Genomic DNA, 19187 nt, shown 5'->3' on the forward strand with positions numbered 1-19187 from the left:
CTTCCCTCTTTCCTTCTCTCTCTCTCTCTTTCACTCTTTCTTTCTCTCTCTCTCTTTCTCTCTTCTTTTTTTTTCTTGAGATGGAGTTTCACTCTTGTTGACCAGGCTGGAGTGTGCAGTGGGGCGATCTCGGCTCACTGCAACCTCTGCCTCCCTCCACCTCCCGGGTTCAAGCGATTATTTTGCCTCAGCCTCCCGAGTAGCTGGGATAACAGGCGCCCACCACCACGCCTGGTTATTTTTTCTTATTTTTAGTAGGGACGGGGTTTCATCATGTTGGCCAGGCTGGTCTCAAACTCCTGACCTCAGGCGATCCACCCGCCTCGGCCTCCCAAAGTGCTGGGATTACAGGCGTGAGCCACTGCGCCCGGCCCTTCTTTATTTTTAAAGTCTGGCTACTAGAAAATTTAAAATTCACATGTGGCTCACATCTTATTTCATAAGATTGGCTCCTTTTAAAAATCTCAGGCTGCTAGTTCAAAGGACTAGGAGCCAGGAAGGTCATAAAAGCTGAAATTTTAAAATAATTATTTTTTTAAATTTGTGAATAGCCATATATTATTTATAAGTGCTTATGACCTTATACACAAGGTTAAGGGAAAATACCCTCTAAGGTGTGCCTGGCTCAGCTCAGGGAGGAAGCCCTGCCTGAAAAGGCTGCAGCCTAGGCTATCACTCTTTCTTCACTCCGCCCAGCATTTGGTCATATCTTCTGTCACTCAGGGCCTGAAGGGGCGGGCCCTTAAACCGTATCCAATCAGACACGCAGAACTGGGAACCGTCCAATTAGGCACACATTTGGAGCGGCGAGGACGGCTTCCGGGATGTGGCTGGGCCATTGTTTCTCTCTGCTGCCGGAGCTCCAGGTCTACCCTTCACTGCTCTGTGTCCTCAGCGTGTGTGGCTTCGTGACCTGAAGATACTGGGAAATCCATAGCTAAGATGCCAGGACCCCCTGAAAGCCTAGACATGGTGAGAGTGCTGGGTCCGACATCACGAGAGAGGGGAAGGAGTTGCTCGGAACCGGTGGGAAGTGGCTGTGGCGGGACTCAGGCCTCCCCGCAGTCAGCTCCACAATCTGCTCCCTGAGTTCTCCTTGCCCAGCTCGGCCTCAGTCTCCTTCAGCCGTAAGTTGGCGGCTGCGCCAACAGCCGGGGCCCCGGGCGTCCTGTCTCTTCCCTGCACTGTGACTGTGCCCTGCCTGGAGTCCTCTCTGGCAGTTCTGCACCCGCAGCGCCGCGTCTTTCTCAGATTGTGCGGGGACCACGGGAGGGTCATCAGGGGAGAATCCTGACTTGGGGTGCGGGTTCATGAATGGGAAGAGCTTTGGTCCGTGGGGTTCCCAGTTGCTATTTTCTCCTATTAAAAATTTATGGGCGTCACTGCAAAAATATTAAAGAATGTAATCAAAGAGTGGTTCTAGAATTGTAGAGCACCCAGCTATGGTTTGTAGTTTGTGGTCTGTGGGAGAGGCTTGAAGGAAAGTCTTTTATAAAATGCATGATGAAGAAACCAAATTTACTAATTGGTTAGGTACAGTTACATGGTTTCTTAATATGTGCGTTAAAGGTGAAAATTTCCTGGTTATGTAATCAGAGCTTAATTGGCAGTTTACAGTTGCTGAAGCCTGAATTTTGTTTCTCTGAATGTAGTAATTAAAAATAATGCACCTGAGTTAGATTTTTTTTTTAAAGTAAGAATTCAGGGACTAGAAATACCTCAGTCTAATTGCCTGCCACTTAATTATTTTCACACTCCACAGGGAACTGATTTTCTGCTGTATTTTTCACCTGTGTCCCAAGCAGAGTCTTGGAACCAATCCCCCATTTCTCCGGCCTCACTCTGGCTTGCAGTAAGATAATTTCCAGTTTCCTCTGACGTTCCTAAATGCCACCTTTTCCTCCCTAATTCACATTATCGCCTATTTGTCTTTTACTGTACTTTTTTATACCATATTTTAATTATTTTTTTGGCAAAGCATTAAATGGTTAAATGGTGCATTTAAAGAGATTTGTTATCTGTTTGTAAATATTTCCCATGAAAAGAAGGCAAATAATAATACCCTGACACTGCATTGTAGTAAATCTCTGTCTCTTTTGCTTTCATCTTGTCTAGGCACAGAGATGTTACCAGAATGTTTTTGGGTCGAAGTTCTCCTTTGGAAAATCTATGGGGTGATGTGTCCTCAGCCACCCTTTGGTTTTTTCCTGGTCATGGGTTTCAGTACTATCTGGGGATAAACCAAGATAACTGCCATGGTTATGTTAGCTAGAGTGTCCATTGGATCTCAGCTTCTGGTTTATTTTCTCCCATAAGATGACCTGAGGTATGGAGTGTATCCTCTCAAGGGAGCAAGTGGATATTCTGGGGCTGAGGGGAATCTTCCGGTGTACTCTTATTTTGAAACGGGTAACCCTTTGAAATGTTAAAATTGCCTTCCCTCAACCAGGCTTCCATTTCTTGGAGACAAATTGCTGGTCAGCCAATCAGATGCTGGTAATGAGGGGAAAACACAGAAATAATTTCTGCCCCCTGGATTCTCTAAGGGGGCAGAAAAATAGTGAAATTAATATAGTAAAAGAAAAAGAGTAAAAAAAAAAAAGTGAAAAATTTGTGGCCCAAAAAATAGTATCCCAAAAGACAAACAACAAGAACAAAAACAAAACTGACTCCAGTGAGATGGTGTAAGAGCTTGCAAAGTAAAACGCAACTGGGACAGTCACCAAGAAATACTGCAGTGTCTCCTGAATGGGTGGTTCTTGAGCACACAAGTGAGCAGGAGTGGGTGGAAGAATCTCTCAAGTTATTGAATGGCCTGACTTGAAAGGTGAGTCAGACACATCTGTTATTTATTTATTTTTTATTTTTTATTTTTTTATTTTTATTTTTTTGTCTCACTCTGTCGCCCAGGCTGGAGTGCTGTGGCCCGATCTCGGCTCGCTGAAAGCTCTCCCTCCCGGGTTCCCGCCATTCTCCTGCCTCAGCCTCCCAAGTAGCTGGGACTACAGGTGCCTGACACCATGCCCGGCTAATTTTTTGTGTTTTTAGTAGAGACAGGGTTCCACTGTGTTAGGCAGGCTGGTCTCAATCTCCTGACCTCATAATCCATCCGCCTCGGCCTCCCAAAGTGCTGGGATTACAGGTGTGAGCCACCATGCCCGGCCCACATCTGTTATTTAACCAGCACTGCCACTCCTGGATTTGTCACCTTGAAGAGATTTGTTCACTTATTTTGACCTCAGTTTTTTAGCTGTAAATTGCATTATATTAGTAGGACTTGAAAAGGTAGAAAAATATTTACAAAGGGCATAAAAGATTTGGGTTTCAAAAAATTATATCTAATCATATATGTCATTTGTTAAAAATTCTCATGTACCTTTTTCTTTCCCAGAGTGAGTTTTTGAATTTTCTCAGGTGTGTTTTTTTTATAGCTGGGTGATTTCAAACAGAATTTCAAGGCTTAGCTTTTAGAGTGCTGCCAAGAAAAAGGAGAGAAAAAATCTCCATTTCATTTTTGCTGTAGAAAATGAATACATTTCCATGAGAAAATGCGGTAGGTAATTGGTGAGTTACGTAGATTCATAAAAACGTAAGTTCCTTTTTTTGCAAGGTAAATTTTTGACAGTGAATATCTCTGTTCAAATCCTGTTATCTTGATTTGTGAGTTTCATGCTAAATATTATGAGATGAAACTTGATACTGCCTGGAAGTGTTTTCATATGACTCATTGTTAACTGCATGATTTTTAGTGGAATTAATAGAATAAGACATTTATTTTCTAAAAGAAATAGATACTTTTGCTTTTCTTATTAAGGTATACAATATAAGCAACTTGGCCGGGCGCGGTGGCTCATGCCTGTAATCCCAGCACTTTGGGAGTCTGAGGCGAGTAGATCACAAGGTCAAGAGATCAAGACCATCCTGACCAACATGGTGAAACCCTGCCTCTACTAAAAATAGAAAAATTAGCTGGGCATGGTGGCACGCACCTGTAGTCCCAGCTACTTGGGAGGCTGAGGCAGGAGAATGGCTTAAACCTAAGAGGTTGAGGTTGTAGTGAGCCAAGATTGTACCACTGTACTCTGGCCTGGTGACAGAGAGAGACTCCATCTCAAAAAAAAAAATGTAAGCACCTTAAAATTTTTTTTCCCGTATGTGAACACTGTGTTTCAGTAATTTTGCTGAATTTTTTAAATACTTAATTTCAAAAACCAAGTGAGTAACTCTAACGTGAAAATTAAAGGTTGAGCCCAGTGACTCAGAGCTAAGGCTAATACTGAGCCTGCAAAAGGAGTTTATTAAAGGCCTAGTTAGTTTTTTTTCTGGAGAGCCTCCCCTGCAGATGTTCCAGCCTGCTCACTCCAGCCATGGAAGAAGCCTTTCTGCTGACAGAAGCTACAGAGTCCTGGAAAGCTACAGGCAGATGCAGTTAAGGTTAAGATAAAAGGGGACAGGGAGGGTCATACTGACCATGTAGTTGTTATTGTACATCAGGGATGCTATGATTTAGTATCCTGAAACTTTGCTGAAGTTGTTTATTAGTTTAAAGAGCTTTTCTACTGAGACTGTAGGGTTTTGAAGATACAGAATCCTGTCATCTGCACACAGGAATAGTTTGACTTCCTCTCTTCCTGTCTGAATGCCTTTTATTTCTCTCTCTTCCCTGATTGTTCTGGCCGAGACTTTGAATTCTATGTTGAACAAGAGTTTTGAGAAAAAGCATTCTTTTCTTGTGCCAGTTTTCATGAAGGAATGCTTCCAGCTTGTGTTCATTTTGTATGTTGGCTGTAAGTTTGTCATACTTAGATAACTCAGTATTTTGATGTATGTACCTCCAATGCCTAGTTTTTTGAAAGTTTTAAACATGAAGGATGGTAAATTTCATTGCAAGCTTTTTTAACATCTACTGAAATAACCCTGTGGTTTTTGTCTTTAGTTCTGTTTACTTGAGGAGTAACATTTATTAATTGCATGTTGAACCAACCTTTTATTTCAGAGATACAGCCAAGTTGATCGTAGTGGATTAGCTTTTTGATGTTCTCCTGGATTTGGTTTTCCAGTATTTTCTTGAGGATATTTTCATCAATGTTCATTAAAAATATTGGCCTCAAGGTTTCTATTTTTTTGTTTTATATTTGCCAAATTTTCATATTAGAATAATGCTGTTTTTACATAATGGGTTGGAAAGAAGTCCCTTTTTCTCAGTATTTTGAAATAATCTTAGTAGGAGTGGTACCAGCTCTTACTTTACATCTGGTAGAATTCAGCTGTAAATTTGTGTGGTTCTTTGTTTTATTTTTGGTGGGCAGGCTATTTATTTATTTATTTATTTTATTTTATTTTATTTTTTGAGACAGTCTCACTCTGTCGCCCAGGCTGGAGTGCAGTGGCACAGTCTCAGCTCACTGCAACCTCCACCTCCTGAGTTTAAGCAATGCTCTGCTTCAGCCACCTGAGTAGCTGGAATTACAAGTGTGCACCACCACACCCAGCTAATTTTTGTATTTTTAGTAGAGATGGGGTTTCACCATGTTGGCCAGGCTGTTCGCTGTTCTTGAACTTCTGACCTCGTGATCCACTCGCCTCGGCCTCCCAAAGTGCTAGGATTACAGGAGTGAGCCACCATGCCCGGTCAGCTATTTATTTATCTACTTATTTATTTATTTCATTTTATTTATTTATTTATTTTTGAGATGGAGTCTCGCTCTGTCACCCAGGCTGGAGTGCAGTGGCACGATCTCGGCTCACTGCAACCTCCACCTCATGGGTTCATGCCATTCTCCTGCCTCAGCCTCCCGAGTAGCTGGGACTACAGGCACCCGCCATCACGACCGGCTAATTTTTTGTATTTTTAGTAGAGATGGGGTTTCGCTGTGTTAGCCAGGCTGGTCTCGATCTCCTGACCTTGTGATCCACCTGCCTTGGCCTCCCAAAGTGCTGGGGTTACAGGCATGAGCCACCATGCCTGGCCCTGGCCAGCTATTTATTACTAATTCAATTTTGGAGCTTGTTACTGGTCTATTCAGGGATTCAATTTCTTATTTGTTCAGTCTTTGCAGGATGTATCATTGTTCCAAGGTTATAATCCTCAAGCTTGGCCCTGACGAACTCTCTAATTATATTCATGTTTCCTCAGTTTTTTCCTTTTAGGTAGACATATTAATAGAATGGGCTAGAGGAGCCTCTATGAAGGGATCTCTCCTTTGATTGTACTCTGCTTGCTGTAACACCCAAGAATGCAGAGTCAGGCTAACCCCACTTAGAATCTGCACATAGGGTCAGGCCTCTGCCTGGGATTTACAAGACAGGGCCAGACTTTCAATTGTGAATGTAATGAAAACCAACAAAATGCATTTTCTGCATTGTGAGATGTCAACATAGACATCTTAAAGCCCCCCTTTGAGAGTGTGGCTTTTTAAGCTTTTCAGATCTTGTTTAGTGACCTGCTACAGTTATATGAGAGGCTCCAGGTATAAATAGAATCTGATGACAGAATCTATAAGTGTAAACAAGCATCTTAAGAGTGAGGGATAAGGCCACAAAGTATCCAGAGCTATGACCACAACTATACCTACCTGTAAATTGTAATAATGGAGTAGAGTATTCTTGTCCTTCTTACCCAAAAGCTAGCACATCAGGATAGGTGATCCAGGTTCTGGAGTTCCACCAAAGCAGTTCCATTTTCTATTTAGAATCAGCATGAATCTCTCTCAGCCTGGCTTATCACTGGGCCATCAGCCTTGAGTCACTGAGAACCGTCTCACAATCACCTAGGTGTCTTTAAGACATTTGAGGATGTCAGGGACAGAATTGTGTCGGGATTACATGGCCAATTTGCAGAAATCTCTTTACTTGTGCTCTCTCCACAGGTTCTGTGTATTGTTCTAGGTGAAAGTATTCATGTTTTAATTGTGTCTCATGTGACTCTTAAGGTGAGGACAGAATTAAGTGTGTGGGGTTCAAGATAGATTCATGAGAGTTAAGTTTCACCTTTGCACTAAAAGGTGGTCACAGGAACTGTTCCGTTTGGTTTTGATAGGAAGAGGTCAGTGTCACCCATATTTTCATTACTATAGCAGAAATTGCTGGTGTTTGTGGCAAGGGCAGGCACATGAAGACAAATAGAGAAACATATTTTTATATTCATTGAGCAGCTCATTGTTCCTGAATCTCTCCTGTTATAAAGGACAAAAGTGAGTGGGCTTTTTCTGCAGTTCTTCTTTTTTTCTGTGGTTGTGAGGCTAGCAGGTAAATAGGTGGTGCTGACTTCTTTACAAGAATTTTCTCAGGATGCAGGTGTAACTTCTCCAGAGAATGTCATCTGAAAAGGATTTCCAAAGAAGGCAAAAGAGGAAAAATGGCTTTTTTTTTCAGCTAAATATGTCTCAGATGAAGAGCTGTGTCCACTCTGCCTCCTGGATTGCCATGCGTTTAGTCCTTGCAAACCTTTACTTCCCTACTTGTGTTTCTTTCCCCTAATGAGTTTGTTTTAACTACTTTAGAAAATTCTTGTGATAGTCAAGGGTCTCTGCAAAATATCTCTCTCCTATATCCCAGAACCTTCTCTACACTCTCTAAATCATGGCTTCTTATACGCCATGCAGAATTCTTAAAATGAATTTATAATCTGCACTACTTAAAATGTTCCCTTTGTTGCCATTGAACGTGGGAAAATGTAGATATTCAAGATTCCCATTGGCGGAAAGCTGGGGTCCTTAGTAAAGATAAATAACATGTAATGTTGTGGTTTCATCTGTTTTCTCCATTAATTCTATGCAGAACAGGATTAATAAAATGCTTATTTAAACAGGATGGTGTTTATTACCCTGAAAGTTCTGAAAAAAAGTTATTGAGAGATACCTGCTCTCTCAGGTGCTAAAGAAAGACTACTTTAAAATGTTATTAAAAATTGCAGAACATAGAAGATATCTGCATTTTGAACTCTGCATAAAACTGATTTTTCTGTATGGTTAACCTCAGACTATAATTTACTTTTTGAGGGGCAATATCTCAGCAGTGATGATGTCTTCTTCTGTGTGCATCAGCACATCATAAACATTTGTCCTAATGCAGTTGATTTTAAAATTTACTTAAAAGAGCTCTCTGAAATATTTATTTCACTATAGAGTTAATTATTTTTCTCTTCATTATTAAGTATCTTTATGTAGCTAAGGAAGAGCTGTGCATAAACCATCACATTTAATCTGGCAGCTGCCTTTCTTTGTTAGGTTTTCCTTGCATTTATCTGTCTTTGGAAAATGAAGACTCTTATCTTTGTTTACAGGGCAGAAAAATTGAGTAAAACACAGGATCTTCCACTTACTGGATATTGACAAAATATTCTTTCTGGGCCAAACACATTGGCATTACTAGTGAACTTGTTAGAAATTCAGAAACTCAGAGTTTATTTCAGATCTTCTGGGAAAAAAGAATCTGCACAAGATCTCCAGTTTACTGTTCACATTAAAACTTGAGAGGTGCCTTCTAACTCAACATATCTTTTGTCTGAAAAATATACACAACTCATTCTTTGTGTGGCAAATATAGCACTAAAAAATGTACATGTTTGTGTTTATGCCTTTAGCTTTATACTTTACTATTAATAAAAGTATATATACAGTGGTGTTGTAGATCTTATACCATTCTCTTCTCTCAGAGTTAGAGAATACATTAGAGAATATTTCTGTGTTGAAAATTGTTGGATAATTTCAGTCATTCCTGTAAGTCAGAACGAATTTTCTTTACTTTCTCATTTGACCTTAATTCAAATGATAAATTTTGCCCACGTGTAAATGTGTGTGTGTGTGTGTGTGTTTGTGTGTGTTTGTTTCAGGGGCCGTTGACATTTAGGGATGTGGCCATAGAATTCTCTCTGGAGGAGTGGCAATGCCTGGACACTGCTCAGCAGGATTTGTATAGGAAAGTGATGTTAGAGAACTACAGAAACCTGGTCTTCTTGGGTGAGAATAACTTTAATACAAAATCCCTTATATACCCTAAAGTTTTCATTTCTCTGTTTTCATAGAATAATTTTTGGTAATTTATGCTTTGCATAAGTGAGTTTCTGGTGCCTGTTTTAAAGAAATCTTGAAGAACTGTCCGTGTGGAAAAAAATTTCTTCAGGATGTTTTATCTTGGCCTGATCTTTTTACATTTCTGAGCCGGTCTGTATCCTTCACTCTACAGTAGTGGTAATTTCAGAAATTTAGTAGTATAAAATATTGTTGTCCATATGTTAAAATCTATATGCCACCACTAATTTTTTATCCATGAATACTGGGTGGCAAAATTAAGCACCTACAAATTTAAAATATTTTCTAAATGTTAAGAACTTTCTGTCATTAAATAGTATTTTGGGATAAATTTTCTAGAATATTCTATTACATCCTCTTTACTAAGCATGGTACTAGGTAGGTAATTAGAGAATATGAGCAAGATTCATGTTATTTATTTTTAATAAAGCAGGTATTGCTGTCTCTAAGCCAGATCTGGTCACCTGTCTGGAGCAAGGAAAAGATCCCTGGAATATGAAGGGACACAGTACGGTAGTCAAACCCCCAGGTAGGTGAGAGTGAATGAAACAGTTGACATAGATGAAAGGTTGAAAGATTTAAAAAAAAAAAAAAAAAAAAAAGCCAGTCCTGGCCGGGAGCAATGGCTCATGCCTGTAGTCCCAGGACTTTGGGAGGCCAAGGCAGGTGGATCACCTGAGCTCAGGAGTTCGAGACCAGACTGGCCAACATGGTGTAAACTCTGTCTCTACTAAAAATACAAAAATTAGCCAGGCGTGGTGGCAGTTGCCTGTAATCTCAGCTCCTCCGGAGGCTGAGGCAGGAGAATTGCTTGAAACCGGGAGGCAGAGGTTGCAATGAGCCAAGATGGTGCCACTGCACTCCAGCCTGGGGGACAAGAGTGAGACTTCATCTCAAAAAAAAAAGGAAAAGAAAATAGTTATCAAGTGAATATAATACCATCACCAAATCTGTCCTGCTGATTTGGGAAGCTATGTTCCAAAGCAAAGAGTTTCTCGGAAGCCTTTGGCATTTTTTTGTTTTTTTTTTGTTGTTCTTTTTCTCACATAGGGCCATCTTCTGTCTTATGCTTTTAAATTCTCTAAGGATTCTACTTTCTCTTCATTGATACTCCTTTAAGTTTACAGTGAGAGCCAAATCATCTTCATGGCATATAAGAGACTGCACAATCTGACTGCTTTTCCATTGTTTTGGGGGACACACAAATATCTGCATCTGCATGATTTTGAGAAACTTTATGTTAAACTATTTTATTAGTTCTTTTTTTGCATCATTTCTAAAATGTATGAGGGTAGTGGTCTCTGTTCTATTGGTTTTTATGTTAATTTTCTGAACATTCCATCCTGTTTTTATTAGTATATTCTTGAAATATAGTTTGAAATTATAAAGTATGATGTCCCTCTGCTTTGTTTTTTTTTCTCATAATTAATTTGGCTATTCGAAGTTTATTGTAGTTTTTTGTAAATTTTAAAATCGTAGTTTTCATTACTATAAGAAAAAAATGCCACTGGAATTTTGATAGGTCGTTTGCTGAATCTATAGATTACTTTGGAGAATATGGTACTTTAACAGTATTTATTTTTTCAATCCATAAATATGAAATATTTGTAAATTTATTTGTGTCTTGCCTAATTCCTTTTATTGATTTATATCTTTTATTGTTAACATTTTTTGCCTCGGGTTAAATTTGTTCTTAGAAATTTATTATTTTAATTATATTTTTAAAAAGATTGCTTTCTTGGCTGCACGGTGGCTGGGGCCTGTAATCCCAGCACTTTGGGAGGCTGAGGCCGGTGGATCACTTGAGTTCAGGAGTTCGAGACTAGTCTCGCCATTATGGTGAAACCCCGTCTCTACTGAAAATACAAATAATTAGTTGGGTGTGGCTGTGGGCACTTGTAATCCCAGCTACTCAGGAGGCTGAACCAGGGGAATCACTATTATTAATCTTAAAAAATTATTATTATTATTTTTTTTTTGAGATGGAGTCTCACTCTATCGCCCAGGCAGGAGTGCAGTGGTGCCATCTCTGCTCACTGCAAGCTCCACCTCCCGGGTTCTTGCCATTCACCTGCATTAGCCTCCCGAGTAGCTGGGACTACAGGCACCTGCCACCATGCCTGGCTAATTTTTTTGTATTTTCAGTAGAGACGGGGTTTCACCGTTTTAGCCAGGATGGTCTCTATCTCCTGACCTCGTGATCCGCCCGCCTCAGTCTCCCAAAGTGCTGGTATTACAGGCGTGAGCCACCATGCCCAGCCTAATAAAAATTTTTTTATTTCTATTGTATCCAATAGCTTGTTTTAAGTGTGTAGAACAATAACTTACACTTTTATGTTAATTTTATATTTTGTTAATTTACTGACTGTATTATTAGTTTAGACAAATTTCAATGTACTGTGGTTTTTTATGTGTAAGATTATATGTTCCTCAAACAGCAACTTTTTACTTATTTGTCTTCAGTTTCAATGGCTTTAAAAAGAATTCTTTTTTCATTATTCTGCCACATGCTTCCAGTGCTATGTTAAAATAGAAACATTGACAAAGGGCACAATAGAGTTTACTATTGGTGTCTGTGAATTTGAAATGGCAAACAACTCCTTAAGTTTTTATAAGCTGATTTCAGGAGGTAAAGATCTTCTTTTCTTGTGTTCCCCAGGGTTTTGGGATGCCCTCTGGGTTTGTAGTGGAGTGGGGTTGTAACTTGGTTGCAAGGCTGCTGGTTCTACATTAGGGTCCATATTTAGTTGTCATGTTACAAGAGGCTTGGGTAGTTGTACTTCCCAATTTTTTTTTTTTTTTTTTTTTTTTTTTTTGAGACAGGAGTCTCGCTCTGTCGCCTGGCTGGAGTGCAGTGGTGTGATCTCAGCTCATCAAAACTTTTGCCTCCCTAGTTCAAGCGATTCTCCTACCTCAGCCTCCTGAGTAGCTGGGATTACAGGTGCCCACCAGCACGCCCAGCTAATTTTTTGTGTGTTTTTAGTGGAGACGGGGTTTCACCATGTTGGCTAAGCTGGGTCTCGAACTCCTGACCTCAGGTGATCCACCCGCCTTGGCCTCCTGGGTGCTGGGATTACAGACGTGAGCCACCACCCCCGGCCACTTGTTTCTTTTAAATGCTTATTAAAAGTTTCTCATCAGAATATTTTATTTATAATTATACTGCATATTCTCTGAAATTTTACTGCCAATTTTTCAAAATACCTGCTTTTGATGAGTACAGTTACAGTCAAATACTGTAGTTAGACAAATTCTTTTTTAATGGTATATTAATGTTGCATACCAAATTGTATGAGTTAAACGTCTCTTCCTGTGCAGTTTCATATTAGTGGTGTTTTCAGTGTAGGTATCTTAATATCAGCTTATCGTGGTTTTTGGTTATGTATTATAATTTTAGTCAATTTGCAATTCTGTCTGTATACTTTATGTCAATGTGAGGTTGAATTAAAAGATAGCCATATGTCTATCACAATCATATATGTGTGTGTGTTTATCTATAAATATGACCCCAATATTGGTTATGGCTTATCTTGTATATATTCTTTCTTTCTTTCTTTTTTTTTTTTTTTTTTTAAGGTGGAGTCTCGCTCTGTCGCCCAGGCTGGAGTGTGCAGTGGAACAATCTCGGCTCACTGCAACCTCCTCCTCCCGGGTTCACGTCATTCTCCTGCCTCAGCCTCCCAAGTAGCTGGGACTACAGGCGCCTGCAACCACGCCTGGCTAATTTTTTGTATTTTTAGCAGAGACGGGGTTTCACCATATTAGCCAGGATGGTCTCGATCTCCTGACCTCGTGATCTGCCTGCCTCAGCCTCCCAAAGTGCTGGGATCAGAGATGTGAGCCACTGCACCCTGCCTCTTGTATATATTCTTTCTTAGCTGGTTTTCAGTGGTTGTTTTATCTTGTCTAAATGTGTAGTCATGTAAATATTTTCACCATTTCTTATTTTCATGATGTGTTTAATCATGAATATATATTCCCTTTGTGTAAGAGAAACACTTCTGGGATTTGAAGGTAATTTTTGAAAAGATTTATAATTCTTTATTTTTTTCAGTTTTTCTGTTAGAAAATTAATTGTTGTAAAAACACATAAAATTTAGCATCTTAAATCTATTTAAGTGTACATTTCATGGCCCAACATGTGGGTGGCTCACATCTGTAATTTCAGAAATTTGGGAGTCCAAAACAGGAAGATCACTTGAGCCCAAAAGTGTCAGACCAGCCTGGGCAACATATGAAGAGTCTCTCTTTACAAAAATTTTTTAAAAATAGCCAGGCGTGGTGGTATGCACCTGTGGTTCCAGCTACTTGGGAGATTGAGAGGGGAGGATTACTTGAGCCTGGAAGTTTGAGGCTGAAGTGACCCTTAATTGTGCCACTTCATGTCAGCTTGGGTGACAGAGTGAGACCCTGTCTCAAAAAGAAGCTGTATATTTCAGGCATGTTAAGTATATTCACATTGTTATGCAAAAGACTTCTAAAAGTTTTACATCTTGTGAAACTAAAACCCAGTACCCATTAAGTAACAACAACGCATTTACCCTCTTCCCAGCCCTTGGCAAACACCCTTCCAATTTCTGTTTTTATAAGTGTGACTACTTAAGATATATAAGCGGAATCATACAGTATTCATCATTTTGTTTCTGGCATATAGGTGACATAATATTTGCAAAGTTTATCTTAAAATGTGACAATATTTTCTTCTTTAAGACTGAATAATATTTCATTGTGTGTATATATATATATATATATATATATATATATGCAACACTTTTGATGTGTTTATAAATCAAGAGACATCTGAGTTGTTTCAGCCCTTTGGCTTTTGTGAATACGGGTACAATAAACATGGATGTTCTAATAGGTCTTCCAGGTCTTCTGTTGCATATTTTGACTATAAATTCATAAATGGGATTGCTGTATTTGATGATAATTCCATTTTTAATTATTTGAGAAACATAACATTTTAAAATAATGATTGTATCTTTGTTTTCTACTAACAATCAACATAGGTTTCATTTTTATTGCATCATCAACATATTTGGTGTGCTTAAAATTTTATAGTGGCCATTGTAATGGGTGTGAGGCAATTTTTTCATTGTTATTTTCGTGTGTTTCTCTACAAAGTATTAATTTTCTGTGTCATTTCAAATGCTCTTTTTCTATATGTGTATCTTTTCTGATGAAAATTTTGTTCAATTATTTGCTCATCTATAAATTAATTTAGCTTTATTGTTCAGTTTTAAGAGTTCATATGTTATGAATATTAACTACTATCACATATGATTTTTGAATTTTCTTAATGTGCGGAAATTTTCAAGTATAGTGTAGTTACATTTTTCTGTTTTTTTCTTTGTTGTTCATGCATTTAATATCATATCTAAGAAAATGGTGCCAAGACTCATATTATTTCTTTTTTCTAAGAGATTTATTACTTTTTCATGTCTAAGTTTTTTTGTTTTTGTTTTTGTTTTTGTTTTTTGAGATGGAGTTTCACTCTTGTTGCCTAGGCTGGAGTGCAATGGGATGATGTTGGGTCACGGCAACTTCTGTCTTCCAAGTTCAAGCAGTTCTCCTCCCTCAGCCTCCCAAGTAGCTGGGATTACAGGCATGCATCACCATACCCAGCTAATTTTGTATTTTTTGTAGAGACGGTTTCTCCATGTTGGTCAGGCTGGTCTGGAACTCCTGACCTCAGGTGATCCACCTGCCTTGGCCTCCCAAAGTGCTAGGATTACAGACATGAGCCACCACCCCTGGCCTCATGTCTACGGAATTTTTTTGTAAATTTTGTGAATATAGTTTTTAAAAATGATGTAACTGTATTTCATCAGTGTTGATGTTTTTAACATTATTTTTTGAGAAAATTATCTTTTCTGTATCGTGTGCTCATGGCAACTTTGCAAAAGATCATGTAATCATATACAGAAGGCTTCATTTCTGGGCTCTCTGTTCTGTTCTTTCATCTTTTTATCTTTGTGTAAGTATCACACTTTTTGTTATTGTAGCTTTTAATGTGTTTTGAAATCAGAAAGTATAATGTCTCTCTGTTCTTTTTTATGAGTGTTTTGCTAGTTATAGTTTATAATCAAATTATAAAATGTTAAGCAGGTTGGGTGCGCTGTCTCACACCTGTAATCCCAACAGTTTGGGAGGCTGAGGCGAGCAGATTGCCTGAGCTCAGGAGTTTGCAACCAGCCTGGGCAACAAAGTGAAACCCCGTCTCTACTAAAATACAAAAAATTAGCAGGGTGTGGTGGCGTGCGCCTGTAGTCCCAGCTACTTGGGAGGCTGAGGTGGGAGAATTGCTTGAACCCAGGAGGCAGAGGTTGCAGTGAGCTGAGATCCCTCCACTGCACTCCAGCCTGGGTGACAGAGTGAGACTCCATCTCAAAAAAAAAAAAAGTTAATGTTTTTGCAATAAAACTGTGCTATTGTAATTTTTTTTTTTTTTGAGATGGAGTTTTGCTCTTTCACCCAAGCAAGAGTACAGTGGCTGAATCTCAGCTTACTGTATCCTCTGCCTTTTGGTTTCAGGCAATTCTCCTCCCTCAATCTCACATTGCATTAAATCTGTAGATTACATTGAGCATTATGGACATCTTCAAAATATTTCAAATTTTGAACAGGAGCATGCTGAAGAGTGTGTTGTTTAATTTCTATGTATTTGTACATTTTTTTTCTCTATCTTATACTGCCGAGACCAGCTCAGTCGGGGAGACCCTAACCCAACGGTGCTAGAGGAATTAAAGACACACACACACAGAAATATAGAGGTGTGAAGTGGGAAATCAGAAAAGGTTTGGAGCTGAGAGCCCCAAACAGAGATTTACCCACATATTTATTAACAGCAAGCCAGTCATTAGCATTGTTTCTATAAAAGATTAACTAAAAGTATCCCTTATGGGAAATGGAGGGATGGGCCAAAATAAAGGGATGGGTTGGGCTAGTTATCTGCAGCAGGAGCATGTCCTTAAGGCACAGATGGCTCCTGCTATTGTTTATGGTTTAAGAATGCCTTTAAGTGGTCTTCCACCCTGGGTGGGCCAGGTATTCCTTGCCCTCATTCCGGTAAACCGACAGCCTTCCAGCATGGGTGTTATGGCCATCATGAACATGTCACAGTGCTGCAGAGATTTAGTTTATGGCCAGTTTTGGGGCCAGTTTATGGCCAGATTTTGGGGGGCCTGTTCCCAACATGTCTCTTCTTTGATTTGCAAATCAATAAAGGCAAAGGCAGCTTTGTCACGGTGAGCTACTTCTCGCAGGAGTCAGGATCCACATCTGCAGACTATCAGCACAGATTAAAAGCACAATCATCTTTGAAATCACAGAACTTCCAAGTGTTTTTATCCATTTTAATGGGTTACTAGCTGCTAATCTGTCTGCAGCTCCATTAAGCACTCCAGTTCTTGGCATTAACATCAGGTGTGCTTGGGATGCTTTAAATATTTTAATTTTGCAATATCCAAAAACAACTTTGTAGAGTGTCTTTCTAGATGCTTTTTTATTCTTTCCCAAATTTTGATCTTATTAAGAACTATTAATAGTGTCCACAAATCCTTGTGTTTAGCTCCTACAGCAGGCCTTATCATTTGAGGTCGAGGTGCCACTATACTGCCATGGTTCCAGATAATAGAACTCTTGCCATACTTCTTATCATTTCTATCATCTGACCATTTTGTTCAGATCAGCTGAACACAGTGTGGCTGTGGCACACAGACTGAGAGGTGCAATTTAAGCTAAACATCCCCTTAGGAGACCAGCTAATAATGATTCCATGGGAATCATTGTGCAGCACCTCTGCCTGTTCTGCAATGCAATCTTTCTAAAGAAGTACATTCATTTTTTCTGGCCAGGTACTATTTTGTTTACAAATAGGTTTTTGAGGGCGGTATGCCTCAATTATAGGAGCAGATTTATTATGGTAAATACTGAGATAAGAAAGCATGTGTAACTGTGTCATAGAGTGATTACATCCAGGCATTATTACCAGCCAAGATAGATAAATATGCCCAATAAGTATAATTGTTCTCTGTGTCAGCCCTTGTTGAAGGAATACTCATGGCAATGGTGATAACTGCTATCATAGCTACCATTAAATTGCTCATTGTGACTGGTTGTCCCACTTTCTTCAGGTTTTCTTCCGCCATCTGTGACAGCTTCTTGATCTGTCCCAAGGTGGGTGGCTGTGTTCGACGTGTGTTGCTTGTGACGCTTGGGGTTGTCCTCAGCATCAATCTTGACATGGCTGCAACGAGGGGGTCCTCGGGATCCTCCCAGAATCTCTTCCTCAGCATCTGGCTCATGATAAAGTTTCAGGTATCTTGATGGTATCCAAATCAGCTGTTGATTTTGGCCTGGAGGAACACAAGCATAATCTCTACCCCAAGTTATTTTACCCATTTGCCAACTTTTTGTTATTGGATCTCTCCACCAAATCAGTTGTTCTGCTTCTCTCTTTGCAGCTGGTTTCTGTACATGCTGTTCAGCTGCTGATAACATCTGGCCTTTGGGCAGGCTCAAAAAATTTAAAGTTAATAATGCTAGATTCAGGAGCATCTGTGGGGTTACATATTGTCTATTTCCCCCCGTCTCCTTCTGCAACTGCTGTTTTAGGGAGAGATTCATTCTTTCCACTATGGCTTGTCCTTGAGAATTGTATGGGATACCGGTAATGTGTTTAATATTCCACACAGAGAAAAATGTAGCTAGAGCTTGGCTAGTATAGCCTGGGGCATTATCTGTTTTAATAGAAGCTGGAATGCCCACCACCACAAAACACTGCAAAAGGTGATGTTTAACTAACACAGGCAGAAGACTCTCCTGATTGGCATGTAGCCCAGACAAAGTAAGAAAAGGTGTCCACACATACATGTATATAAGCTAGTCTCCCAAATGAGGGAACATGTGTGACATCCATTTGCCAAATAGAGTTAGGTTCCAATCCTCGAGGATTAACCCCTCCTGTAAAAGATGAGGAATGTACCATTTGGCAAGTTGGGCATTGCTGGATAATAGCTTTAGCTTCTTTCCAGGTAATGCTGTATCTGCATTTGAGACTAGAGGCATTAACATGGGTTAAATTGTGAAAGTGTCTAGCATTAGATATTGCGTTAGCAACTAGGCAATCGGCCATTTGATTCCCTTCAGTCAAAGGTCCTGGAAGAGGTGTATGAGCGAGCCCTAATGTGAGTGATGTAAAAAGGATGCATTGTACTCCTAACTGCTATTTGCAATTGGGTAAATAAAGTGATCAGTTGTTCATCTGTATGAAATCGTAACTGAGCATTTTCAATAAACTGTGTGGAATGAACCACGTGTGAAGAATCAGAAATCACATTAATAGGCATATCAAAAGCAGTCAATACCTCAATTGCAGCTACAAGTTCTGCTTTTTGAGCTGAAGTATAGGGCGTCTGGAAAACTTTACTTTTCCAGCCAGAATAAGAAGCTTTACCATTACTAAACCCATCTGTAAAAACATACTCAGCACCTTCAATTGGTTTACATTTAGTTATTTTAGGGAGAATCCAATTAGTTAATTTCAAAAACTGAAACAGTTTTGTTTTAGGAAAATGATTATCGAGAATGCCCACAAAGTCATCTAAATGGGTTTGCCAAGTAAGACTATTTATAAAAGCTTGCTGTATTTGTACCTTCGTGAGAGAGACAATAACTTTTCCAGGATCATATCTGTGTAATTTAACAATCCGAGTTCTCCCAATCCCTATCACAGTAGCGATTTGATTTAAATAAGGAGTTAGAGTCCATGAATTAGTATGTGGAAGAAAAAGCCACTCTACTAAGTCCTGTTCTTGGACAATAACACCAGTAGGTGAATGCTGAGTTGAAAAAATTAGCAAATCTAGAGTCTTCTCTGGGTCTATTCTATTTATTTGAGCTTTATGGACTTGCTTCTCAATTAGTTGTAACTCTCCCTCAGCCTCCTTTGTTAATTGCTGAGGGCTAGTGAGACTAGGATTTCCTCTAAGGATAGAAAACAGATTACTCATGGCATAGGTAGGAATGCCTAGAGCAGATTGTATCCAATTAATGCCCCCTAGTAATTTTTGAAAGTCATTTAATGTTTTCAATTGATCCCTACATATTGTTCCTTTCTGTGGCACAATGGTAGTGTCATTTACTAGGGTC

General features: G+C 39.4%; 1 protein-coding gene across 8 annotated transcripts in view, besides 1 other annotated feature; it reads left to right on the plus strand.

The window, feature by feature from the left end:
* ZNF493 (zinc finger protein 493) overlaps positions 838-19187 on the plus strand; it is a 30445-nt gene continuing 12095 nt past the window's right edge. The window contains exons 1-4 of one of the 8 annotated variants that reach the window (NM_145326.3): positions 838-972; positions 8834-8960; positions 9463-9561; positions 11178-12509. In NM_145326.3, coding sequence (NP_663299.2) covers positions 943-972; positions 8834-8960; positions 9463-9561; positions 11178-11233 — 312 coding nt within the window. In that variant the 5' untranslated portion in view covers positions 838-942 and the 3' untranslated portion in view covers positions 11234-12509. Of the gene's footprint in view, positions 1128-4086; positions 4126-5957; positions 9562-11177; positions 12510-17170; positions 17355-19187 lie in introns of those variants that run through there. The other 7 variants (XM_047438678.1, XM_047438677.1, NM_001076678.3 and 4 more) reach the window with 7 other exon arrangements.
* Positions 877-1115: a silencer, noted in NCBI's record as "fragment chr19:21579974-21580212 (GRCh37/hg19 assembly coordinates)". NCBI's record gives its function as "represses an EF-1alpha promoter that drives an FKBP-Casp9 reporter gene in an ReSE screen in K562 erythroleukemia cells {active_cell/tissue: K562}" and the evidence as "EXISTENCE:reporter gene assay evidence [ECO:0000049][PMID:32094911]".

Source organism: Homo sapiens, chromosome 19 (assembly GCF_000001405.40).
Source record: "Homo sapiens chromosome 19, GRCh38.p14 Primary Assembly".
NCBI lineage: Eukaryota > Metazoa > Chordata > Mammalia > Primates > Hominidae > Homo > Homo sapiens.